Below are 26,326 nucleotides of genomic sequence, written 5' to 3'. Positions count from 1 at the left end.
ATCCAATTTTTTAAAATCTATTTTCTTTCTCTTTTAACCTAGATTTGGAGAAGGTTCTCCTTGTCCTTCCTTATTCCAAGATCTGATTTTTATTCCCATATTGTATTAACATTGGCTGTTCGGCTGTCAGTTTACTTATAAGATGGGTCCCTAAGAGTAGGCATTGTGTTATGTTCATCTTTGAAGATGTAATGAAAGAGTGAAAGTGTGTCTGTTGCTAATCCTAACATCTTCCACCAGTAAATCTGTTCTCTTCACTGTCTGCTTTCTTGCAAATTTTTTTTTTTTTTTTTTTTTTTTGAGACGGAGTGTGGCTCTGTCGCGCAGGCTGGAGTGCAGTGGTGCAATCTCGGCTCACTACAAGCTCCGCCTCCTGGGTTCACGCCATTCTTCTGCCTCAGCCCCTGAGTAGCTGGGACTACAGGCACCCGCCACCACACCCGGCTAATTTTTTGTATTTTTAGTAGAGACGGGATTTCACCCTGTTAGCTGGGATGGTCTCAATCTCCTGACCTCGTGATCCACCCGCCTCGGCCTCCCAAAGTGCCGGGATTACAGACGTGGGCCACTGCGCCTGGCCTCTTGCAAATCTTACTGTGCTTATTATCACAGCCACTTTCAGACTAGTTATTGTTGAATTTCGTTTAGGTTAATTTTGTCTCCCTTCTTCTTACCCTTACATCCCAAGCCACCTATCCACCACCTACCCACTTCTCCTCTGGCAAACAGGGTAAGAATCCTGTTTCACAGTGTGGCAGTAATTGCAACCTTGGCTGCACATTAGTAAACACCTAAGGATTGTGTAAATAATATCTGTGTTTAGGCTCTACCTCTAAACTGATGTGAGGACTAAATAGTGGTACTTTTTGAAACTCTCCCAGGTGATTGTAATGTGCATGAGGGTTGTGAAATGCTGGGGTATTAACTATCCTTGCTGGTCTTGGAAATACCAGTCCTATATGTGGTACTAAATAATTATTTTCTAAATAATAACCAGAACTTATATGAATATGCACACTTATAAGAATAATTTTTCCATACAACTTTGAAATAGATAAGAATCTGTAATTTAATAAACTTATTGTATTGTATTAGTGTTTTTAGATAATGGCTTTGCTTTCTAAATTATTTAACTCACTGCATTTCCCAGACCATGTGATCATACTCTTTCCCAATGAACTTCTGCTCTGTTGCACGTATATAACATTCATTAAAGACCCTAAACCCTCACTATAAATTGCAAAACTCAGTGCTGATGCTAAAGCATACTCTTCACTCTAAAACTTCCAATTTAGTAACTCCATTTGCGTTATCTAATGTGAGAATCTCCCACCTCCTCAAAGAGAATAGTTTTTGCATTTTACTCTATGTAAAAGTCTCTAAAATCCCCAGATAATGTAAGACTTCTTAGATGAGAATTTTGATTTCAATCAAATTCTGATTTAACGTTTTAAGAAATTGAAAAAAAACGTGTTTTTGTTTTATTTATTTATTTATTTATTTTGCTTTCTCTAGTGTCCTTTAGTGCAAAAAGACCTTGGGCTGAACTAAAGAAAACTATTGTCTAAGTAAAAAATTAAAGCATCTGAGACTTTCTGATCATAATGTGACAATATCAGGATCTTGTATGGATAGAATACTTGGAAAGGGAAAAACAAAACATCCTCGTAGACATTTTTCGCTTGATTGACCATAGATTCAACCCACATCTGCATTTGTCTCTTAAAAAAAAGTGTTTATAAGCTTCAAAGTCTCTAAATTGGGATGGGGCTCTAACCATTGGCATTCATGGCTATTCATGTTTAAATTGCCGTTCATTTTTCTTTTATTAAAAGAGTCCTCATTAAGTTTTCTTTCACTTACTATTCAATTATTAAATATAGTTTTATATTGAGGAAGAACATCTAATCTATTAATAGATAATTTGAAAATAAATGTATATGTTTCTTCCCACACCCATTCCCTGCAATTTATTTATAACTTGTAATTTCAAGATGCGACCAGAAGAGATAATGATATTTTATTATGTTATGACTAGATTTTCTGGTTAGGAGCTTTCATTAAGCAGAATTAAATTTTATTTCTACATAATGCATAGTTATTTAAACTTCAGTTGCTGGTAAAATTTAATTGAACTTAAGTCTAAGAAGACTTAAATAGATTCAGTAAAATTGTTAAGTTTTAAATAGCTAAAAAAGCAATTCATAGAAAATTGAATATTTTAGCTATATCAAAAATATATTTAGGGAAATCCAAAAACAAAAATAATAACTACAAAATATCTTGCTATTTTGTTACAGCCAACCCACTATTTACACAACTATTCTGTTAGCTGTAATTCAAACAATTCTTTGAAGAAAAAAAAAGTATAGAAAAAACATTCCCTGTGACTTTAAAACATCTTAATACTAATAGCGTTTTATTTATTTATTTATTTTAGACAGAGTCTCACTCTGTCACCCAGGCTGGAGTACAGTGGCACGAACTCGGCTCACTGCACCCTCTGCCTCTAGGGTTCAATTGATTCTCCTGCCTTGGCCCCTACAAGTGTGTGCCACCACACCCAGCTAATTTTGTTTTGTAATTTTGGTGGAGACAGTTTCACCATGTTGGCCAGGCTGGTCTCGAACTCCTGACCTCAGGTAATCTACCTGCCTAGGTCTCTCAAAGTGCTAGGATTACAGGCGTGAGCCACTGTGCCCAGCCTATAATGGCATTTTAAAATAGTGGTTGTGATAATATTGTTTAGTCAGCTAAAATTAGTATTAACCAAAAATAAAATTCCTCTGAATATTATGCATGGTAAGATTTTCCACATTGCACCTGAAAGTGTTGAAAGCATTTTTCTGCCATTTTCTCTTTTCTATGAGAAAAACTTTTTTAGTTATTCATATTCATCATATTTATTTATATTTACCAAAAAGAAGCACTAGATCTTATGTATTTGTGTTTCCTTATTGTGTTTAACAATTGAAGCCAACATGTTAATTTTAGTTTTCATTTTAACTTATTTTAATTCAATTATATTAGAGGACTTTTTGAAGAGAGCAGAGACCAGAGTGTAACAGCAAAGAACACGGATTCTATAGCCACATTGTTAGGGCTCCCATCTGAACACTACCTCTTATTAAATGAGAGATTCCAGGCAAATTAGTCCACAGCTCTGTTTCTCAGTTCTCTTAACTGTAAGAACAGATATCCATAGTATCTTTCTCTTAGCTTTTGTGAGAAGATTAGGTGAGTTATTAAGTGCCCAGAACAGTGCCTGGAACATAGTAAGCACCGCCTTAATATTTACTATCTTCATTGTTATAACTGAAGCTAGATGATTCTAATGTGCTACCATAGAAAGTGAGGGATAGAAGTATTACATATTTTTAGGTGTTACTTAACTAAGTTCTAGAAACATATATGGGGATATGAAGTAAGCAAAAATGAATAAAACAGTGCCTACCCTAAAATATTTATAATACAGTAGACAAGATAGATAGATATACATGTGCCATAGGTGGCACAATTTGAATAGACAATAAAGGTTCAAATAAAATGCTAAGAAAGTTTCGGAGGAGTGGTTCCTGGAGGAGATATACTTTAAATTGGGCTTTGAATAATAGAATTTTGATTGAGAGTGAGAACAGAGAAAGCAGGGGTAGGAAGGACAGAAATTTTAGAGCAGTATAGAATAATGACTGATGTTTTCGGCTGAAGTAAATAGATGGGTTGGCGACATGTGGGTGGGAAGAGGGTATGCAGTAAGGGTTAAGGATGGAAACCACAGACTAGTTCGTGAAGAATACTGACTGCAATGCTGTTGAAACGGAATCTTCTAGGCAATGCAGGAGTCACTGGTGGATTCTCAATATGGGCATAAATAATTAGAATTGTAGTTTAGTGATTACTTTGGCAGCAGCATGATGAATAAATGGATGGAAAATGAGAATAGAGCCATGAGGCCAGTAAGTAGCAGTTAGAATTTAAAACCAGGTACATCTGTATTAGAAGCCATCACTGAGAACCAGGTTATTGCTTTGAGATCAACTTCCTGTCTCCCATATTGGTCTTCAGTGTGCCATTAGTTTTGCTAGTTCTGCTTTTGTTATGAGGTGTTTCTTTCTCCTTGGCTCTTATTCCCTTTGCATGGCTGCATTTTACCCTAGTAATAGTTATGAACTAGTAGAACAATTAGTTGCTAGTGACAGTAGTAGAGAAGAACCACCGACTGGTATTAGATGTAACTGTACACCCTTTGTTTACTTATAATAAGGGCTGAGAGCCCCAGAAGACGCCAGTATTCAACCACAGGTAACAGATTATCCTGTCTATGTTCTGTATGAATAGCCCCTTGCAATCTGTACACATTTGAAAATTACTAAGACTTCCTAAAAAATAAGTCAAAATTATTCTCTGGAAGATATGAATACTTGTTTAATGTATAAAATTTTATTTTCTTTTTTTCATTTCATGAAAAAATAAAAAATGAAAATGTTTATATTTAAGCCATATTTTGGGGAACTCATAGAATATTTCATATTTGGTAATAAACTTTCAGTTTCAGAAACTTTGATCTATAGTTTTTATCTTTCTAAATTTCAGCTTGTTTTTCTAAAATTATTCTCACTACTATAATTTAAAGCTAAAATTGGGCCCGGCACGGTGGCTCACGCCTGTAATTCCACCACTTTGGGGGACCAAGGCGGGCAGATCACCTGAGGTCAGGAGTTCAAGACCAGCCTTGCCAACATGGAGAAACCCTATCTCTACTAAAAATACAAAAAAATTAGCAGGGCGTGGTGGCAGGTGCCTGTAATCCCAGCTAGTTGGGAGGCTGAGGCAGGAGAATCACTTGAACCTGGGAGGTGGAGGTTGCAGTGAGCCGAGATTGTGCCATTGCACTCCAGCCTGAGCAATAAGAGTGAAACTCCGTCTCAAAAAAAAAAAGCCAAAATTACATTACTTAATTTGTATATCTATATATATTATAGTTCTGTTAGATAATTCTGTTTATAAAAATATTTATGCCTTTCTCATTTATTCAACTTTATTGTATCAAAGGTGTAAAAAGTTCTTGTATTTTAGAATTTAATTTTTTATCGAGTAGAAGAAAGGCATTTATGTACAATTTGTACATAAATGTCAGATGGCATTTCACATTAATTATACCAATTGAGTAAATTTTATCCATACAAAAGGCCATGCATCAGGCTACAAATGTTTGTGTGTAGTTATCATATTTTTCTAGTTCAAATGCTTAGGAGAATAAGCTTTTTAAAATACAAATTTTGTCTATAGTTCAAAATATTATAATTCTGGCACATAAACTGCTTGAGTAATGACAGTTATTATAATTAAGTATAAAGGCATAAACATAATGACAGATAATGTGTGTCAGGTTAAAGATTATCATTTATAAACCATTAAGACTATTTTAATGTGTTCTATTCAAAATATATTTTCTTGTTTTTAATAATATTTATAGGATCTATAATTAAGATGTACATTGATGGACACTGGTGCCACACATAGATGTAAATACAGAAAGAAAACCCCAAATATAGGCAAACACTTTTCATTAGAATAATAGAAATAGGAAGAGAATATAAGATAAAATTATAGAGGCTTAGTCACTTAAAATATATTCTATGAAGATAGACTTATATTAACTGAATTGTTTTATTTACTCTTTAAATAAAAAGATAATCTAATTTTTAGACAATTAAAAAATTATTTCATATTCGTTAGTTTGTTTGCACTCTCCTAAATCTCTGAGTGTCATAACGTCTTGTAACAATAAGCTGTTAGATCCTTAATCCTGGTATAATTATGTGACTCAGTAGGGAGTCCAGAAAAAAATTACCTTGTAATTTAATTTATACTTTATTTTATTTTTCTCCGTTGAAATATGCAAGAATAGTAAATGGCTTGTTAATGTGCAGCGGAATGATTAAATTATATTGTAGGGGTATTGTGATGAAATGATGTGTATTTAACCTTTTGCTTTTGTATCTTTTTTGGTACAGAGATTTTGGAAATCACATTATACCCTGTTGTTTAACTGCCTTTAAAAATGTTTTGTGCAGAACAAATAGCTTAATTTTATGGGGTTTTGTTGATGCTAAACTCTGGAGCAGAACCAAAAGGCATCCTGACTGCCAAAACAAATGAAGGAAATCATTTCCCTTACTAGCTTGGCAGAACATTTTTACGTGATGGCTTTAAAAATAACTTTCCATTTCCAGTGAGGTCTTTCTTTGCCATATATTGTCACCTGAGTTAACGTTTGGTTGCAGTCCTGAGCCTATTAAACTGTTTTAAAATACCAAACAAACCAAAATAACAAGAAAAAAACTTTGGTAAACCTATATTTCTGTTATTCCTTTGGAGGGTCCCCATGTGTTGAACTTTACTGTAGAGAGTGTTCATACTTTTCTGTCTTTCTTCCATCTACTCAAGAGTGATCTGTTAAACATCCATCTACCTTTCCTCAGAAATCCTACAAGTCTTTCAGAGCCGGGGTTATTGCTAAAATCCTACAGTATTTCCTTCCGATTAAACTGGAAAATTTTACTTGTTTTATTCATTTAACATGTTACAGCATTTTCATGTCAATGAACCTGATTTCTCAAACTTTACTGTAATCTCCTTTGACAGACTGACTTCACTAAGAATGTGATAAAAGGCATATTGACTGATACAAGCCAATCAATGGACGTTGAAAAGCAGAGACTGTGCTTAAGACACTGTGCCAGATAGGCACTGGTAGTGAGACAGAAATAAGTCACTGCCTTGCCCTCTGTAATTTATAGTCTAATAAGAGAGCTAAAATTAAGTACACAAATCATCGCTATCCTAGATAGAGAAAATAAGAACACTATGAGGGATCAAAGGAGTGAGAAATACTGTCCGTTGAAAAAATATCAGCAAAGATTTTGTTGTGAAACTCTTTGGGAAATGCACCTGAAAGAATAGTTTTGTTATTCTTACAGCAATTGCCATTATTAGTTTTGCTGCTAGGAACAATGCATGTTCTGGCAATCCTAGAAAAGCCATTATTGTCTTCACCATCACATAATATCTTATCTTTGTGACAAAAACTGTGAAGGGTCTGAGATTTTATCTTGCTCTCAAGACAGGTTAGCCTGTCACAGTTACATAGATGCTGTCAGAAAACATTAGACTCTTGGGTCAGAGACGAAAGACTATTACTCATGGCACACAGCAGGCAGCAAGAGCTTCTTGTTTCCATCAGTGTCCTTGCCCCTCCGGTCCTGCAGGGGGTGATGCGTGGCAGCCTAGGTAGACACCGCACTCAGTGGATACGTGTCACACCTGAGGGACTCCAAGCTTAGGAAACTCCCAATCTTATAAGGGGGCTGTTAGCAAAACTGTCTAAACTTTGTCTAGGGGGAGATCGAATCTTTACTATCCTGGTCAGGAAACAAATCTTCCATTTGCCCTGGAGGGAGATTCTGTCTCTATCTTTTCAGGCTATTTGAAAAGATATTCTGGAACAAAAGCCGTCAAAAGATGTATAAAAACGCTATGGAGAATTAACCCCTAAACAGTGTGTTTAACTGGAAATGATCATTTTGAAGCCAGTATTTAGGGGAATACAGAATAATATGCAGTAAAACTAAAGTTTAAAGAAGCCTTCATTTTACATAATAATGAAAAATGAGTAAGAAGGGATGCTAATATTGTAAAAAGAAGCCCAGCCTATATCTCGTAAGTTATGTAATAACCGTAATGCATTATTCTGAATTATGGATGAGGGATTATCTATTCTAGTCATATTGATAAGGGAATTAGTCATGAAAATCTTTCCTGATAGATGATCCTAAATGAATTTGTATTTTATTATATATATATAATAAATATGTATACATATTTGTATAGTCTATATATACATGCACATGCTCTAGCATATACATTTGAATAATTTATACATCCACAGTAAAATAATAATTCCCAAATCAAATTGAATGTCAAATTAGAATGGGTCTTACAAATTATTTCTTAAAATCTATCTGTCAGTTTGAGAATGATTTTCCAAAATAATAGATCAGGTAAAGCTTATAAACTCTGCAGCTTCACTTCTAGGATTCGACCTATAGTGGGGTCAGTGACTCCTCTCAGGTGTATGCAAAGCTGCATTGTAACCAGATATTGACTGATATCTTTCCTAAATCATGCATGACCCACTGATGGATTCATTGCTAACATCAACATCTTTTCTAGGATTTTATGTGTGTGCTTTTTGCTTTAGGGTTGGTTTTCTTTTATATCACCATTTTTCTCTGTTTATCTTTTCTTGTGTTGCAACATCAAAAACAAAACTGTGTTTTCACTTAAAGTTTATATGCCAAAACTGTGTTTTCCTTTAAAAGTTTATACATTGCACTATGAAAATTAAAGAACACATGATGCTGAATATTGTTAGTAAAAAACTGCTTGGGGCTCATTGCACCAATGAATAACAACATCGAAGTAATATTTTATACCTATAATTCAAAACATAGAGTGCTTGTTTCTATGATAATAAATTAAATCAGATAGCATTTATCACTATAAAATGCTACTATCATCACTTTGATAAATTCCCATTATTACTCATGTATCAGGAAATGGATTTGGCTACATAATGTATAAGTTAAGTGACAAGCCTCTTTCACTTCTGGGATTTACATGCCTTATCTGATATTTTATGGGGCATGGCTTTAAGAAAAAGAAAAAGCATACGTCTTATTTTTCTTTTTTTTTTTTTTTTTTTTTAATTGAGATAGAGTCTCACTCTGTTGCCCAGGCTGGAGTGTAGTGGCAGGATCCTGGCTCACTGCAAGCTTCATCTCCCAGGTTCAAGCAATTCTCCTGCCTCACCCTTGGAGCAGCTGGGACTACAGGTGCACACCACCACGCCTGGCTAGTTTTGTATTTTTCATAGAGACAAGATTTCACCATGTTTGCCAGGCTGGTCTCAAACTCCTGACCTCAGGTGGTCCACCCGCCTCGGCCTCCCAAAGTGCTGGGATTACAGGCATGAGCCACCTCACCTGTCCTAAAAAAGCTGAATCTTGAACATATTTAGGATTCAAACAAATATGAGATTTTAGAAACTAAAATACCTATAGGAATCATTCGTGTAAAAGAAAAGTCTGAAACAAATCAGAATATCTGTTCCATTTCAACTCCAGAGGAATATTTCCGCACAGGAATGCATGCCTAGTGTTGCATTTCATCATATTTTTAGGGAAATCAGAAATATGGATTTTTATGCAAGATTTTTAAATTTTTAAATGCTGGCTCCTAGCCTAAAAATAATTACAATTTGCCACTAAATAAAAAATACCGCCAATCAGCAACATCTAATATTTTGTTTGATAATCAGAATATCTTTCCAGGCTGACAGAGCATAAGCTGGGATGGTGATGGATAGAGGAAGGGGAGGCAGAAGATAATAGAGACTTTAAGGGAACAAACAAACTGCTGTAGACAGGAGAAGAGTCTGTCTTACTGTCACAGGCCTAGCAATACAGTCTAACAACAGTACACATTGACACTGGACTGGAAAAGGCTGTACCTGAATCCTTCTTAACTAAGGTCTCTGAGGACTCTTAAGCATCCTGAGGAGAAAGAAGCTGTTTGTAAAAATGTTAATGATATCTTGAGAGGCCCATGCTACTTGGCTGTGTTATTTTCACTCCTTCATCAAAATGTTAACTTGACAATGAAAAGTGACTTCCTACAAAAGGGAATCAGAAAAATTCTTAGGTAGCTTGTGGTATTAGTCCGTTTTCATACTGCTATAAACAACTACCAAGATTGGATAATTTTTAAAGGAAAGAGGTTTAATTGACTCACAGTTCAGCATTGCCAGGGAGGCCTCAGGAAACTTGCAATCATGGTGGAAGCTGAAGGGGAAACAAAGCACCTTTTTCACAAGGTAGCAGGAAGGAGCAGTGCCAAGCCAAGGGGGAACAGCCCCTTATGAAACTATCAGATCTTGTGAGAACTCACTCACTATCACGAGAACAGCATGGGGGAAACGGCCTCCATGATTCAATTACCTCCACCTGGTTTCTCCCTTGAAAAATGGGGATTATGGGAATTACAATTCAAGATGAGATTTGAGTGGGGACACATAGCCTAACCATATCATCTGGCTTCAATGGAGGCAATTAAGTAAAAACTGTAGAGTGTTTCGGTGAGAAACACCATCCCTCCAAGATAAATCACCTGACCAGCCAAGCCCATGAAATTGATACATCAGATGGTGCTCCCTTGAAATTCCGAGGGAACTTAAGAAAGGAGGTGGACTGAGCTTTTTCATTCTGGTGAGGGAAGGTGATTGATTCAGCAGATGTGGGGATAAACAATATTAAGTAGGAGACTTAAGCTCTTGAGCCACAAAAACATTTGGGAACTGACCAGTTGCTACAGTTAGTTACTCAAATGGATCATATTCCTTTGTTTCCACCCATATATTTATTGCAGTGTGGGTTTCCACAGATAAATATGAATTTTTAAAAGAAACTCCCAAAATAATAGCATCTCTTTGATAAAGTTGTGGTAAGGATTAAATTAGATATTGTATTTAAAGCACCTGACACCAAAATTGGAAAAGTTGATCATGCTAAGTGAGGGTATGGGGGCATGGATTGCTGGTATAGACATGTAGCCATTTCGGAGAGCAGTAATTCTTCTGTTGTGTATATATACCAACGATTTTCTTACACAGATCCAAAAAGGGCATGTACAAAAAGGTAACAATTTGTTTGATGTGATAGAGACTTGGAAGCAATCTGGGTATCCATCGCTGGGAGAGTTGATAAGAAAATAGGAAGACGACAATGAAGATACTGACAGTAGTGATGCAGAAAATGAAATTAATAAACATGATGTCGTGGTCCAGTTGCAGCCTAATGGTGAATGGGATTACAACATAGCAAATACTGTTTGACTTTCAGAAGATGATTGGTTTATTTCACTTTAAAATATTTAGGTATATACTGTAATTTGATTTTTTGCTCCCTTCAAAGATTTCTGTAGAAATACCTTATTTTTTAGTATTCTACAGTTTAATCAAATTACTGAAATGGGATTTTTGATCTGGTATTTATCTGCAAGAGTATACTTCATTCACTAATAATAGACTGGTGCTGTAACTCAAACATCAATTCAGCTCTTCTTTTGGAATGAAAGTATAGCCAAAACAAACAAACAAAAAAATCCTCAGTATAGCTTGCAATTAAGACTTAGATCACAGTATTTAAGTGTTTTGAGTTTTGTACATGAGGTCAGTGCTACAGCCACCTAGCATGAACTAACCCAGCTTCCACCTCCATAAAGTTACCTAGAGTTGTTGAGTTGGAATATGTTCTGGCATTTACCCGACCTGCCAATCATTAGGGAGAGGCAACAAGGTAATTCAGCCTTTCCTCCTATCAGCACGAAGAAACTCAAAGCTGTTTTTTCCCTTTCTGTTCCAAAGCAGTCTTATCCTGACAGGAGCGGTCTATACTAGTGCAGATTTCAACACTTTTTTTTTAATGTTTTAATTACTATAGTGTTATGTAGAGATTTGATTGAGCAGCTAATGTTTCTGAACTTTACTTACTAATTTTCAGTGTCCTTAAGGGTTCTGTAGTGTTGTTATCAAAGCAAAAAGAAAATGCTGCATAAAAATACCAAACTTCAGCAACTGTTAATACTCAGATCATATACCTCTTAACAAATAGCATCTTATGCTAATTAGCCCTGCTAAACTATGTACAGAGAAAACTGTTCAAGTATTGGATTTGAAAGTAAGTGACTTATGTTTAACAGAACTAATGATGTATTGAAACACTGTATTATGAAAAGCTAAATTATACATCATTGTAACTATGTAGAAAATGTAGACTAATGTATAATCAAAATGCTAAGGATTTTTATATGGCCTTGTATGAGGGGAGTTTGAATGTTAATAAACATGTTTTCCACTTTAAGATCCAAAAAAAAAAAAAAAAGAAAATGTGGGGGAACCACACCTTAACATTACAAAACACTCAGAAACAGCAGACTATATGTGTGCATAGGACTATTGAGGGAACTCAAAAACCCAGTTCTTAGTGAAAAAGATAAGAAAGAGATGAGATTTAACTTCAATACTATTTACATAAATTAGAAATATATGCACAAAAAGCAATAGTATACACTTTCTAAGAATACATACAAAGAAGGCACCTGGTAACAGGATACAATAGTTGCCTCCTGGGGGATGGAAATAAAACATGGAATGGGAAGAAGGAAATAAATAATTAACTAAAATAAAAGAGGGACCTTTTAAGAGTGTTGATGAAAATGAATTATGAATTGAGTAATATAACAAACTCAAACCTCTGCACGTAAGTTGATAAAGCAAAAGAAGGAAAAAATAAAATAAAGTTCAAAACACAATGCCTGGCACATAGTACAATCAATTCTATAGATTAAGCAAAAAGGGGACCAAAAGGAGTCTGAGAAAAGAAAAGGAAAGAAAGTGATAAAGTAAAAAATTTCTTCCAAAAATAAATTAAGTTTTGCAATTAGAAATTTGTGGAACCAGTTAACAAGTATAACTGATTTCTGCTTGTGGTCTCAGGAAAGTGCTAGATACTATTAGAGGTGAAAAAGAAAAATTCGATATATTCTTCTTATCAGAGAATAAACCAACAAACTTAAAATATAAGTTTTAAGGAATGTATAAAGGAAGAAACCAACAATCTTAAAATACAATTAAAACTTTTGGATACCCAGTTGGAAACTGGTAGAGTTAAACAATGTTTTTTAAAAAATAATCACTTTGGGAGGCCGAGGCAGGCAGATCACGAGGCCAGGAGATCGAGACCATCCTGGCTAACACTGTGAAACCCTGTCTCTACTAAAAATACAAAAAAATTAGCTGGGTGGGCCATAGTCCCAGCTACTCGGGAGGCTGGGGCAGGAGAATTGCTTGAACCCAGGAGGCGGAGGCTGCAATGAGCCGAGATCACACCGCTGCACTCCAGCCTGGGTGACAGAGCCAGAATCCACCTCAAAAAAATAAAAGATAATAAATAAATAAATAATCAAAGAGACAGTATGGTGTATTACTGGATGATACATTATAAGTCAGCATTTAAAGAGTCATTCATCCTTTAATCATTGTATGCAGCAAACATTAGGAGAGCCCACCACACAGCAGGTTCTGTGTTAAGTAGTAAAAACACAAGAAACTGCAGGAGGTGCCTGAGTTGGAGCACCACTCAGGTTTAACATGGGAAAGGGCTAGTTAAGGCATGGCTGTCCTCTGAAGGGCCAAGACTTGAAGTGAGCTTTCAAAAATATTCAAGAAAAAAAAGGATTTATCATAAAGTAAAAGCCCAGCGATACGTTTCTTAATTATGCAAATAATTCTGTGAATAACACAAAGACCCACTGTATCTTATCAGAAAACAGAAAAAAAAAAAAAAGGAAATGTTTTGAACTGTAGAAGAAAGTGAAATGGTTTTCAGTGTGGTTTATTTTTATATGCAGTTGTCATAATAGTACATTATCTTTTATTTTAGATACACTGGCCGAGTACAGCTCTAAAAATGGAAGAATGCATAATGAAGGGAAAAGATGCGGTAAGTATGATTCATTGTAAATTAAACAAATCATCAATTATATCCCTAGTTAACCACAAAGAACTGAATCACTGAAATTTTTATTTGCTCTTATAAAAGTATGTATGCAATTTGGTTCATGAAGAAAAAATATATAGGCATATAAAACATAATTATGTAAAATTAATTTCAATGTAGAGTTGAAGCAGAGATGCCATTGAGATCTTGGTTTTTATTTTGTTTTCTAATATCTTAATCAACTTGGGTTTATACATTCCTTATACTAATGCTTATTTCTCATGTATTTGGCAGAAAAATAATTGCAGGTAATTTTTTTTTTCTAGGAACAGTTAAGCACATTCTTTGTGAGATTTCACTTTACATTGTTTAGTAAATTAGAAATGAATGAAGAAACAAAAAGTTTGAGAGAGGCAATAAACACATTTTACCTATTCCTAAATATTTTTAGGGTCTCTTCTACTTTAAGAAGCATTATTCTCTCTTTCTGTAGTTTCCCTGCTGGGTGTGAGTGGCAGAATGCTGTGTATCAGCACCCAGACACAGTCCCTAACACACTAAGACATCAGTGATAGAACTTTCACATGCGAGCAGTGGCTAGCTGATTTTGTGACACAAATGCACCCTGGAGGAAGTCCTAGACATCTGCCTGTGAAAGTGAACTTAACCTTTTTTTCAGTTAAAAAAAAAAAAACTATATAAATGACTAACACACATTATACCAACTCCTCATTCTCTGTAGCAGCTGGGTCACAGCCAAGGAGTGAGTCAGCACATTCCTGTTGCCTTAGCCCACAGCATGATGCTGACTAATTGAACATATTCTTAGGCCATGTCAATCTAGCTCAGCTGAGCCAAAATGTGGTCTAATAGGTTCCCTCTCAGATGTGACGGTGTGTCAAGAGAGGAAGTGCAGGTGCTTATGGAAATAAACAACACATATTTTCACCATGCCTGAATGAAAAGATTCTACCAAATATATGGGTCACCCAAAGAATAAAATATCATGTGAATGCAAACTTGAAGAAATAAGTGTACCTGTGTGCTCTGGATAATCAATTCGATAGTGCACTCCTCATTCTAGCCAAGTGATTCCACTGGCCTTTTCCTCCTAATACTGTTATAGGATAGACTTTAAAGTGCTGAAATCACAACAGGTCCTTATAAAACGTGACAGTAACTGATGATTGCATGTATTGATTTCAAGTAATACTGGGCACTAAAAGAGTTTAGTATTTATTTCATAATTTATTTTTAATGGAATGGCAACACCTAATTTGTCAAAAGAATGCTTGCTAAAATTAATTTAGCCAAGTTGATTTTGAAAGCTATTGTAAACTATTTTTTTAAATTCAGTATACTGATCATAAAATTCATTTACTGATGAATATATTAAAACTTTGTTAAGCATGTTATGTATTAGGTGCTGTGCTCAATTAACTGGGAAATGCCGAGATGCGTAAAATAGATTCTGCCCTCAAGAAGCTTAGAGTTGAATACCAGTGTTGACAAACTAGAGCTTCTAGGCCGAAGGTGGCTTTTTGCCTATTTTTGTAAATAAAGTTTTATTTGAACACAGCCCCACACATTTAGTTTTGTATTGTTTATGGCTCCTTTCATGCTATAGCTGCAAAGGTGAATAGTTGCAACAGAGACCAGATAGCTCATCAAACTAAATACATTTACATTCTCGTCCTTTACAGAAAAAGTTTGCTGATCCCCAGTCTACTACTATTTCTTACAGCAATATAGTAATCTTATCATAGTCCTGCAACAAAATGTTATTTTTGTTGGTTAGTTTTCCATATTTACTTAACAATTCTCTCTGAAGGTGCTTTATGTGAATTTGTGAGTGTGAGAATATAAGACTTACTTTCCAAAACATTAAAATTCTGTTTGCCCTAAAGACTACATATTTTGAGAGGCTGAGGCAGGCAGATCGCTTGAGCCCAGGAGTTTGAGACTAGCCTGGGCAACATGGGGAAACCCCATTTCTGCAAAAGATACAAAAAGATTAGCTGGGCATGGTGGCACATGCCTGTAGTTGCAGCTACTCCAGAGGCTGAGGTGGGAGGATCACTTGAGCCTGGGAATGCGAGGCTGCAGTGAGCTGAAATTACACCACTGTGTTCCAGCCTGGGCAACAGAGTGAGACCCTGTCTTGGGAAAAAAAAAAAAAAAAAAAAAAGACTGCATATTTCCATATGAATAACTATGCTTTTTCAAATTTTTGGTTTTAATGACTTTATGCTGATTCATTGTTTATACTGTACTTAAAAAACTAACAGCATTGGGAATAACTTAATTACTTAGTGGAACATATTGTCATGAGAATTTTTACACTTGAAGAAATTTCTGAATAGTGCTTTTTTTATTCCTCAGTTGTAAACTAGAATACATGAAAAATGATGCAGTCTCATTATAAAATGTAATTTACACATCACTGCTAACCAAAATGTGTTTCAATCACCCCAGTTTCTTCTCCAAGTTCTTGTCCTCTTTTCTTCTACCCCTCTTGCCTCCTTCACCCAACAGAGATTTACGGTAAAACATGAGCTTTCTAGGGCTAGGAAAAACAAAAATCAAAAAGGACGAAACATGTTTATTATACTGATAGATTCCTTCCCTTTTTTTCCTGCTTTAGGGTGAATGTGCAAATTATGTTCGGGTTTTGCATCACTATAACAGGACACACCTTCTGACCTGTGGTACTGGAGCTTTTGATCCAGTTTGTGCCTTCATCAGAGTTGGATATCATTTGGAGGTAAGATGTTTCATTCATTGCTGTCAATAAAAACAATGCTTAAAACAACCTTGTTCTCAAAGAAAGACTACAGCATTTCTTCCCAAGAAAGATAAAAGCATTTGCGATGTACTGAATCAGTTTGCTTGAGACAGAGAAATTATCTTTCTGGGCCTTTAAAATTCTTGTCAAGTACAAAATCTGTGAACCAATTAATTTGCTATGCACTCAATTCACTTAATAATTTTATTTGCTTAATTTGCCCACTAAGAACATCTCTTAACATCAAACTGTGTTCTCTATTGTGTTATATTAATATTTTCATTAATTTAACCACCAAACTGGAATATGTATATAGGTGGGTGTGTATGTGTGTGTACATATATAATTTACATAAATAAAATATAATATTTTACAAGGGACATGCAAAGACTTTTTGATTCTGTAATTACTTTCTCATGGTCAGGTGAGGTAGGGAATGCAGGAGGAGGGAAGATTTCAAACTGAGTTAAGATAAATATTACTTGGTGCCAGTTATACATCTCTTCCGCTAAGACTTTGCCACTAGGTGATACTGCATAATAAAAGCAAATCCCAACTGAATCCTGCCACACATATAATATTTACTAGCAAGCAGGCTCAAAGATCAGTCATATAACCTATTCCTGTAAGCTGGGTGAATCGCAACTCTCGTTACTTTTAAGTATATTTTGAAGCACTCTATATCACAATTTTACCCTGAAGCATATGAAACAATATACTCATGTAGAATCTGTTATTTTTCATCTACATTGGAAGGCAGAGTCCTACATTAAGACAAGGCACAGATAAAATCGAGTTCTAGATATTCTGTTGTTAAGCAGCTAGACTCATGATTCTTATATTCCATTTATGAAAGTGCAGCAGTGGCCATAAAATATTAATATTTTAAGCCACCACATACAAAGAACACCATTTCACCACTAAAATATTATTTCTGATATTCCTTATATTAGTTAACCCTCAGGTGCAAATATAATTCGAAGTATTTGAAGTGCTTAATAGCTGCCCCTGGAGAGAGCCCGTGCTTTAACTACTTCAGCTGTTAACTATCTATATAGGGAGATTTTATCATTAGTTTCATGTGCATCCGTGTGAAGAGACCACCAAACAGGCTTTGTGTGAGCAACATGGCTGTTTATTTCACCTGGGTGCAGGCGGGCTGAGTCTGAAAAGAGAGTCAGCGAAGGGAGATAAGGGTGGGGCCGTTTTACAGGATTTGGGTAGGTAAAAGAAAATTACAGTCAAAGGGGGTTTGTTCTCTGGTGGGCAGGAGTGGGGGTCGCAAGGTGCTCAATGGAGGTGTTTTTTGAGCCAGGATGAGCCAGGAGAAGGACTTTCACAAGGTAATGTCATCACTTAAGGCAAAGACCAGCCATTTACACTTCTTTTGTGGCGGAATGTCATCAGTTAAGGTGGGGCAGGGCATATTCACTTCTTTTGATTCTTCAGTTACTTCAGGCCATCTGGGTGTATACGTGCAAGTCACGGGATGCGATGGCTTGGCTTGGGCTCAGAGGCCTGACATTCCTGCCTTCTTATATTAATAAGAAAAATAAAATAGTGTTGAAGTGTTGGGGCGGCGAAAATTTTTGGGGGGTGGTATGGAGAGAGAATGGGCGATGTTTCTCAGGGCTGCTTCAAGCAGGATTAGGGGCGGCGTGGGAACCTAGAGTGGGAGAGATTAAGCTGGAGGCAGGTCTTGTGGTAAGGGGTGATATTGTGGGGTTGTTAGAAGAAACATTTGTCGTATAGAATGATTGGTGATGGCCTGGATACGGTTTTGGATGAATTGAAAAACTAAATGGAATAACAGAAGGAGAAAAACAGGTATAAAAGGTCTAAGAATTGGGACTACTCAGGATATCTGATTAGAGAGTGCCTAAGGAGATTCAGCATAGTCCTGCCAGCAAAGATTATTTATTTACTTCAAGGGTTAAGAGTGGCAGTTTGGGGATAGCACCAGGAGATATCAGCTGTGATGGCTTGGAAAAACAGTGTAAACAAGAGCAGGGCATGTATGAGTAGTTGAGAACGGTGAATAGGAGTATGACTTGACAAGATAGTAGGGATGACAAGTTTTTGGGGGCACAGTCTAAGTTGGTCTGGTGTCTGGAATGAGACTGGGGCCTAATAAAAAGGAGCGTCTATACAGGAGCTTAAATGGGCTGTACCCTGTAGCATTCCGAGGACAGGCCTGAATTCTGAGAAGGGAAAGTGGTAAAAGTATTGTCCAGTCCTTTTTGGTGGCTGAACTTGGTGAGGTGTGTTTTTAAAAGACCTTTAGTCCATTCTACTTTTCTTGAAGACGGAGGACCGTAAGGGATATAAAGGTTTCACTGAATACTAAGAGCCTGAAAAACTGCTTGGCTGATTTGACTAATAAAGGCTCATCTGTTATCAGACTGTATTGAGGTGGGAAGGCTTAACTGAGGAATTATGTCTGACAGAATGGAAGAAATGACTGCCGTGGCCTTCTCAGACCCTGTAGAAAAGGCCTCTACCTATCCAGTGAAAGTATCTACCTAGACTAAGAGGTATTTTAGTTATCTGACTCAGGGCATGTTTAGTAAAGCTAATTTGCCAGTCCTGGGTGGGGCAAATCCTCGAGCTTGATGTGTAGGGAAGGGAGGGGGCCTGAATAATCCCTGAGGAGTAGTGGAATAGCAGATGGAACACTGAGAAGTTATTTCCTTGAGGATAGATTTCCACGATGGAAAGGAAATGAGAGGTTCTAAGAGGCGGGCTAGTGGCTTGTACTATAGTATAACCTGCCTTTGCTGGTGTGTGGTGATTAGGCCTGGTGGAACCGCCATCAATAAATCAAGCATGATCAGGGTGAGGAACAGGAAAGAAGGAAATTTGGGGAAATGGGGTGAATGTCAGGTGGATCAGAGAGATACAGTCATGGGGGTCAGGTGTGGTATCAGGAATAATGTGGGAGGCCGGATTGAAGTCTGGGCCAGCAACAACGGTAATTGTGGGAGACTCAACAAAGAGTGAGTACAGCTGAAGGAGCCGGGGAGCAGAAAGTATATGCGTCAGGTATGAGGAAGAAAATAGATTTTGGAAGTTATGAGAACTGTAGAGAGTGAGTTGAGCATAGTTTGTGATTTTGAGGGCCTCTAAAAGTATTAAAGCAGCGGCAGCCGCTGCACCCAGACATGATGGCTAGGCTAAAACAGTAAGGTCAAGTTGTTTGGACATAAAGGCTACAGGGTGTGGTCCTGGCTCTTGTGTAAGAATTCTGACCGCGCTAACCATGCCTAGGAAGGAAAGGAGTTGTTGTTTTGTAGAAGGTGCTTGGGTTTGAGAGATCAGTCGGACACGATTGCAGGGAGAGCACGTGTGTTTTTATGAGAATTATGCCGAGATAGGTAACAGATGAGGAAGAAATTTGGGCTTGATTGAAGTAACGGGGGCTGTCTGTGAAGCTTTGCGGCAGTACAGCCTAGGTAATTTGCTAAGCTTGATGGGTGTCAGGGTCAGTCCAAGTGAAAGTGAAGAGAGGCTGGGATTAAGGGTGCAAAGGAATAGTAAAGAAAGCATGTTTGAGATCTAGAACAGAATAGTGGGTTGTAGAGGCAGGTATTGAGGATAGGAGAGTATATGGGTTTGGCACCACGGGGTGGACAGGCAAAACAATTTGGTTGATAAGGTGCAGATCCTGAACTAACTTGTAAGGCTTGTCTGGTTTTAGGACAGGTAAAATGGGGGAATTGTAAGGAGAGTTTATAGGCTTTAAAAGGACATGCTGTAGCAGGCGAGTGATAACAGGCTTTAATCTTTTTAAAGCGTGCTGCGGGATGGGATATTGGCGTTGAGTGGGGTAAAGGTGATTAGGTTTTAATGAGATGGTAAGGGGTGCATGGTCGGTCGCCAAGGAGGGAGTAGAGGTATCTTATACTTGTGGGTTAAGGTGGGGAGATACAAGGGGAGGATGTGAAGGAGGCTTTGAACTGGGGGAAAAGGCAGCAATGAGGTGTGGCTGTAGCCCAGGAATAGTCAGGGAAGCAGATAATTTAGTTAAAGTGTCTCAGCCTAATAAGGGAACTGGGCAGGTGGGGGTAACTAAAAAGGAGTGCTTAAAAGAGTATTGTCTAAGTTGGCACCAGAGTTGGGGAGTTTTAAGAAGTTTAGAAGCCTAGCTGTCAATACCCACAACAGTTATGGAGGCAAGGGAAACAGGCCCTTGAAAAGAAGGTAATGTGGAGTGGGTAGCCTCCATATTGATTAAGAAGGGGACGGGCCTACCTTCCACTGTGAGAGTTACCCAAAGCTTGGCGTCCATAATGGTCTAGGGGGCTTCCGAGGTGATCGGGCAGTGTCGGTCTTCAGCCGCTAAGCCGAGAAGATCTGGGAAGGAGTCAGAGAGCCTTGGGCCAGAGTTCCAGGGGCTCTGGGAATGGCTGCCACGTGAGTTGAACAGTCCGATTTTCAGTGGGGTCCCACACAGATGGGACACAGCTTAGGAGGAATCCCGGCCTGCGGGCATTCCTTGGCCCAGTGGCCAGATTTCCGGCACATGTAGCAAGCTCCTGGGGGAGGAGGTTCTGGAGGAACGCCTGGCTGCTGCGGTTCAGGCGTTTGGAAGTTCTTGTGTGTTGGAGATGTGGCTGGGGTTTGTCTCACAGTGGAGGCAAGGAATTGTAACTTTTTTCTATTGTACACCTTGAAGGCGAGGTTAATTAAATCCTGTTGTGGGGTTTGAGGGCCGGAATTTAATTTTTGGAGTTTTATTTAATGTCGGGAGCAGATTGGGTAATAAAATGTATTTTGAGAATAAGACGGCCTTTTGACCTTTTAGGGTCTAGGGCTGTAAAGTGTCTCAGGGTTGCTGCCAAACGAGCCATGAACTGGGCTGGATTTTTATATTTGATGAAAAAGAGCCTAAACGCTATCTGATTTGGGATAAAGAAAAAGAGCATTAACCTTGACTATGCCTTTAGCTCCAGCCACCTTTTTAAGAGTAAATTGTTGGGCAGGATGGGGAGGGATAGTCACTGAACGAAACTGTAAGCCGGACCAGGTGTGAGGAGGGGAGGTGACAAAAAGATTATAGGGTGGAGGAGCAGAGGCTGAGGTAGAATTGGGACCTAGCTCAGCCTGGCGAGGAGCAGCCTGGGGAGGAAGGGAGAGGTCAGATTGGTCTGTAGAAAAGGAAGATTAGAAAGACTCAGCAATGCTTGGGGTTGGTACTGAGGGTACAGGCGGGAGGGAAAGAAGGAAGATTTGGGACGAGTTGCACTGGGCACAGAGACTAGGAAGGGACTGATGTGTAAAAGAATGTCTGGACATCAGGCACCTCAGACCGTTTGCCTATTTTACGACAAGAATTATTTAGATCTGGCAGGATGGAAAAATTCAGAGTGCCATTTTCTGGCTATTTGGAACTACTGTCCAGTTTGTATTGGGGTCAAGCGGCATGGCAGAAGAAAATAAGGCATTTAGGTTTTAGGTCAGGTGTGAGTTGAAGAGCTTTTAAGTTTTTGAGAACACAGGCCAAGGGAGTAGAAGGAGGAATGGAGGGTGGAAGCTTGCCTATAGTGAAGGAAGCAAGCCTAGAGAAAAGAGAGAGTAGAGAAATGGAGGGAATGGGTTTGGGGGTTCTTACCTTCCAGAAAAGTGGGAAAAGGGGTTGGGGCACAGAGATAAGAGGTCGGGGTGCGGAAATAAGGGATGGGGCGCAGAAATAAGGGGCCGGGGCACGGAGATAAGGGGCCGGGGCACAGAGATACAAGAGGTCGGGGCGCAGAAATAAGGGATTGGGGTGCAGAAATAAGGGATTGGGGCGCAGAGATATGAGGTTGGGGTGCTTGCCCCTCCCCCAGAAAAGCAGAGAAGGGGTAGAGACAAGGAGAGAAGGGGTTGGGGTACTTGCCCCTTTCCCAGAAAGGCAGGACTTGCCGCTAAAGGTGAAGGACCAAGGCAGGCATCCCTGCGTGGTCTGACACCTTTGAAACGTGGGTAAATAATCAGAGCGGCGTCCCTGCAATGATTAAACACCAAGGGAAGGCTGCCTTCCCAGTCCATGACCCGTGCCGGAGTTTTGGGTCCACGGATAAAATGTGTCTCCTTTGTCTCTCCCAGAAAATGAAAGGAATTGAAATTAAGGGAGAGATTGAAGAGTGGAAAGGAGAAAGTGGTTGAGGGACAGTGAGAGAGGTTGGAGAAGAGAGTAAGAAGAGGCTGCTTACCTGATTTAAAATTGGTGAGATGTTCCTTGGGCTGGTCAGTCTGAGGACCTGAGGTCGTAGGTGGATCTTTCTCATGGAGCAAAGAACAGGAGGACAGGGAATTGATCTCCCAAGGGAGGTCCCCCGATCTGAATCACGGCACCAAATTTCATGCACGTCCGTGTGAAGAGACCACCAAACAGGCTTTGTGTGAGCAACATGGCTGTTTATTTCACCTGGGTGCAGGCGGGCTGAGTCCGAAAAGAGAGTCAGCGAAGGGAGATAAGGGTGGGGCCGTTTTATAGGATTTGGGTAGGTAAAGGAAAATTCCAGTCAAAAGGGGTTTGTTCTCTGGCGGGCAGGAGTGGGGGTCGCAAGGTGCTCAGTAGGGGTGCTTTTTGAGCCAGGATGAGCCAGGAGAAGGACTTTCACAAGGTAATGTCATCACTTAAGGCAAGGACCAGCCATTTACACTTCTTTTGTGGTGGAATGTCATCAGTTAAGGTGGGGCAGGGCATATTCACTTCTTTTGTGATTCTTCAGTTACTTCAGGCCATCTGGGCGAATACGTGCAAGTCACAGGGGATGCGATGGCTTGGCTTGGGCTCAGAGGCCTGACAATTAGCATATTTTAAATGTTAACCACTCCTAGTTGTAGATTAACTAACATCCAAAATACATCATAGTGTATTTATTGATTCATTTTAAAGAAACAATGCAGAGGATATAAAAGTAGAACTTTAGAGATATGGAAGGCAAATCAGGCCACTGTAAGGTCAGAATATATAGATGTGTACAACAAAGTATACCTATGTATATACGTGTGTATGTATATACACAGTCAGAATATTTACCTCTTGTGATGCAAATCTGCTAGAAACAAATTCAGTTTCATTTATTTGAAAATGCTTTTGTTTCACCTTTATTTTCAAAGGAATTTTCCTTGGTTATAGAATTCTGCGTTAATAGTTGCTTTGTGGTTTTGTTTTGTTTTCTCCTTTCAGTATCTCAAACTGCTTTGTCTTCTAATCTCTTTCTAATGTAAAGCTTTATTCCTATTGATGTTTCCCTTTTAAAATTGCTTTATCTTTTAAGATTTTGTCTTTATCATTGGTTTTCAACAGTTTCAATAGTGTGACTTTATGTTTGCAGGAGTGGGAGGGATCAGTATCTGTATTTCTTAGGATACTGAGATTCTTGGATACTTAACGTTATTCTTTCCATCTAATTTGGTAAATTTTGGTCATTATTTCTTCAAATAATATTTCTTCATTTACCCACTCCTTTCCTTCAGTGTGTGTATATATATATATACACACACACACACACACACATATACATATGTGTATATATATACATATATACATATATATTTATATTTGTTATATATAACTATATATATTATTATATATAACATATAATCATATATATAACAAAAAAGAAAAATATATATATTTATTAGACTTCTAGGCATTGATCTAAGACACACAGTTCATTTTTATTCAACCTTCTTTTCCTCTGCTTTTCAGATTGGAAAAATTCTATTGATTTATATTCAAATTCATGTACTATTTCTCCTGATATCTCCAATGTGCTACTAAGCTCACCCCGTTGGATGTACCATACACAGCATAGTTTACTTGAAAGGTATATTAGCCCATGTAAACTTGCAATGGGCAGTAGTTACCTTTTTCAACTTTCCAGGCACTACCTTTCATTTGCTTGCACATACGGTTCAGATGTTGGACAGGGATGTTGAAGATAATTTATAAGGGTACATACCACAGCTTCTAGATTTCACCACTCATTTTTCTGCTTGAGTTCTAGCCATTCATTTCCACATGAATTAAGGGGTTTCCTCAAGTGAAAAATCTCTTTAGTCTTTGTCTATTCTTAATTGATCTCCAGTGCCTTCTAGAAGTTTTTAAAAATAAATAAATATATATACATATATATAGTTTATCATCATTTTCTTTGAAAGATTTGTCCAATGTAAGATGCATTATCATTAGCAGAACTGGAACTTGGTGTACTTCCACTTCATACACATGATATTGAATAACTTTATATCACATAATTACCTAAATATTAAATATGATTGAAATATTTGAGTCATATTAGAATCTTTAAATATGATTGAATATTATTTCAAATTCCAATAGTTGAATGTTTATATGATTGAAATAATATCCCACATAATTATCTAAATATCAGATATAATATATTTTGAAAAAATTATATATATATATGTCACAAGAGAAACTGGTGACCATCCGATAATAAAAGCAGTATGAGATTTATCCCCAAAACACCATTTAAAGGCTTGATGCAATTTTACATGAGGGAATTAAAAGTTACAAATCATTTAGGCAAGGAGAATACTTTGATTAAGCAGCTAAGAGGCAGGGATTTATGGAATCGGTTTGCAGAAATTTATGTTGGTTAGAGAACAGCAGGAGATAAAACTGGGATAAGTTGGTGGAAGATTTTAATACTACACATTGGCATTTTGTGTTATTGTAAAGACAGCACGGAGACGATGGAGTTTTGAACAGAGTATTTGATTGACAAGACATTCATAATATTTAAGATTGATTCAAGCAGGGAGAGATGAAAAGCAGAGAAATTTAAGGAGGCTATTACATGATCGTTATGAGAGATCATGAAGGTATTTAACACTGTTGTTGCAATAGGAAAGAAAAGGAAGTGTTGAACTCAAGTGAGAAGCTGCTCAGCAGGAGAGTTTCTGTAACTTAGCATTTTGTCTGATGTCAAACATGAAAGGGAATTAAAAAGCAATTCTAATTTTATTTCTTGCTGATTGGGAAGAAATACAAAGTTCTTACAAGCAAGAGAGAGCTATGGAAGCAGGGTAGGTTTTTGTAAGAATCTAACAGATGTCCAGTATTTATTTCTGTTTTAATTTTTTCATTTTCACTTATGGTTATTTGAAAGAATGAATCTGGAGCTAGGAGAGGGTGTTCTCAGAATAGACTGAATTATTAAACCCTGGGGGAGTAGTTAATAGTTTCCTCTGAGAGTCTTCTCTCTCTCTCTCTGTCTGTCTCTGTCATTCTGCTCTCACTTTTCTTTTCTCACTCTCACTTTCCCAAAATAACTTGAAAAGTGCCATTATTTAGGTGGTGGTAGAATGTCTAGGGAGTGTCATGAGCACTCAGAGAAAAATTGGATATAAGGCAAATCAGGTTAGTGCAAAATCCGAATTACATTTGAAAAAGAAAAGTTTTAAAATGATAGTTAATAGTATCAATGGTACAGTTTTAGTAAGGGGATAAGTAATTAGAAAGGAGATTACTGAATAGTGACATAATAAATGTAATAATATCATTAATTTAATCAAGAAATAGAGTCGTGGCTAGGCACAGTGGCGCTTGCCTGTAATCCCAGCACTTTGGGAGGCCAAGGCTGACAGATCACCTGAGGTCAGGAGTTCAAGACCAGCCTGGCCAACATGGTGAAACCCTATCTCTACTAAAAATATAAAAATTAGCCAGGCATGGTGGCCGGCATCTGTAATCCTGACTACTCAGGAGGCTGAGGCAGGAGAATCGCTTGACCCCAGGAGGTGGAGGTTGCAGTGAGCCAAAATCTCACTATTGCACTCCGGCCTGGGCAACAAGAATGAGACTCCAACTCAAAAATAATAAATAAATAAATAAATAAATAAATAAAATAGAGTCGTTAAAGAAATATGGAGAAAAACATAAAAAGTCTAAGAATGCTGAAAG

The 26,326-nt window shown here is 37.6% G+C and overlaps 1 protein-coding gene and 1 long non-coding RNA gene across 3 annotated transcripts in view, besides 4 other annotated features; both read left to right on the top strand.

The window, feature by feature from the left end:
* The window catches only part of SEMA3E (semaphorin 3E), a 285,902-nt gene that overhangs the window by 166,275 nt on the left and 93,301 nt on the right, over nucleotides 1–26,326 (top strand). For both annotated transcript variants that reach the window (NM_012431.3, NM_001178129.2), the window contains exons 3-4: nucleotides 13,563–13,622; nucleotides 16,264–16,383. In NM_012431.3, the coding sequence (NP_036563.1) occupies nucleotides 13,563–13,622; nucleotides 16,264–16,383 (180 nt within the window). The remainder of the gene's footprint in view (nucleotides 1–13,562; nucleotides 13,623–16,263; nucleotides 16,384–26,326) is intronic.
* Nucleotides 616–11,132, top strand: LOC105375378 (uncharacterized). Its single transcript, XR_927716.3, has 3 exons — nucleotides 616–626; nucleotides 6,237–6,240; nucleotides 10,835–11,132. It is a non-coding gene; the product is annotated as an uncharacterized LOC105375378 (long non-coding RNA).
* Nucleotides 14,076–14,335: an enhancer, noted in NCBI's record as "active region_26215". NCBI's record gives its function as "activates an Ori minimal core promoter by ATAC-STARR-seq in GM12878 lymphoblastoid cells {active_cell/tissue: GM12878}" and the evidence as "EXISTENCE:reporter gene assay evidence [ECO:0000049][PMID:35858748]".
* Nucleotides 17,301–18,243: an enhancer, noted in NCBI's record as "NANOG-H3K27ac hESC enhancer chr7:83093938-83094880 (GRCh37/hg19 assembly coordinates)". NCBI's record gives its function as "activates a minimal SCP1, AML or CMV promoter by ChIP-STARR-seq in naive and primed H9 embryonic stem cells {active_cell/tissue: H9 hESC(naive and primed)}" and the evidence as "EXISTENCE:reporter gene assay evidence [ECO:0000049][PMID:30033119]".
* Nucleotides 22,017–22,959: an enhancer, noted in NCBI's record as "OCT4-NANOG-H3K27ac-H3K4me1 hESC enhancer chr7:83089222-83090164 (GRCh37/hg19 assembly coordinates)". NCBI's record gives its function as "activates a minimal SCP1, AML or CMV promoter by ChIP-STARR-seq in naive and primed H9 embryonic stem cells {active_cell/tissue: H9 hESC(naive and primed)}" and the evidence as "EXISTENCE:reporter gene assay evidence [ECO:0000049][PMID:30033119]".
* Nucleotides 22,960–23,903: an enhancer, noted in NCBI's record as "OCT4-NANOG-H3K27ac hESC enhancer chr7:83088278-83089221 (GRCh37/hg19 assembly coordinates)". NCBI's record gives its function as "activates a minimal SCP1, AML or CMV promoter by ChIP-STARR-seq in naive and primed H9 embryonic stem cells {active_cell/tissue: H9 hESC(naive and primed)}" and the evidence as "EXISTENCE:reporter gene assay evidence [ECO:0000049][PMID:30033119]".

Source organism: Homo sapiens, chromosome 7 (assembly GCF_000001405.40).
Source record: "Homo sapiens chromosome 7, GRCh38.p14 Primary Assembly".
NCBI classification, from domain to species: Eukaryota; Metazoa; Chordata; class Mammalia; order Primates; family Hominidae; genus Homo; species Homo sapiens.
Note: the sequence above shows the minus strand (reverse complement) of the source record. Positions and strands in the feature narration are given on the sequence as shown.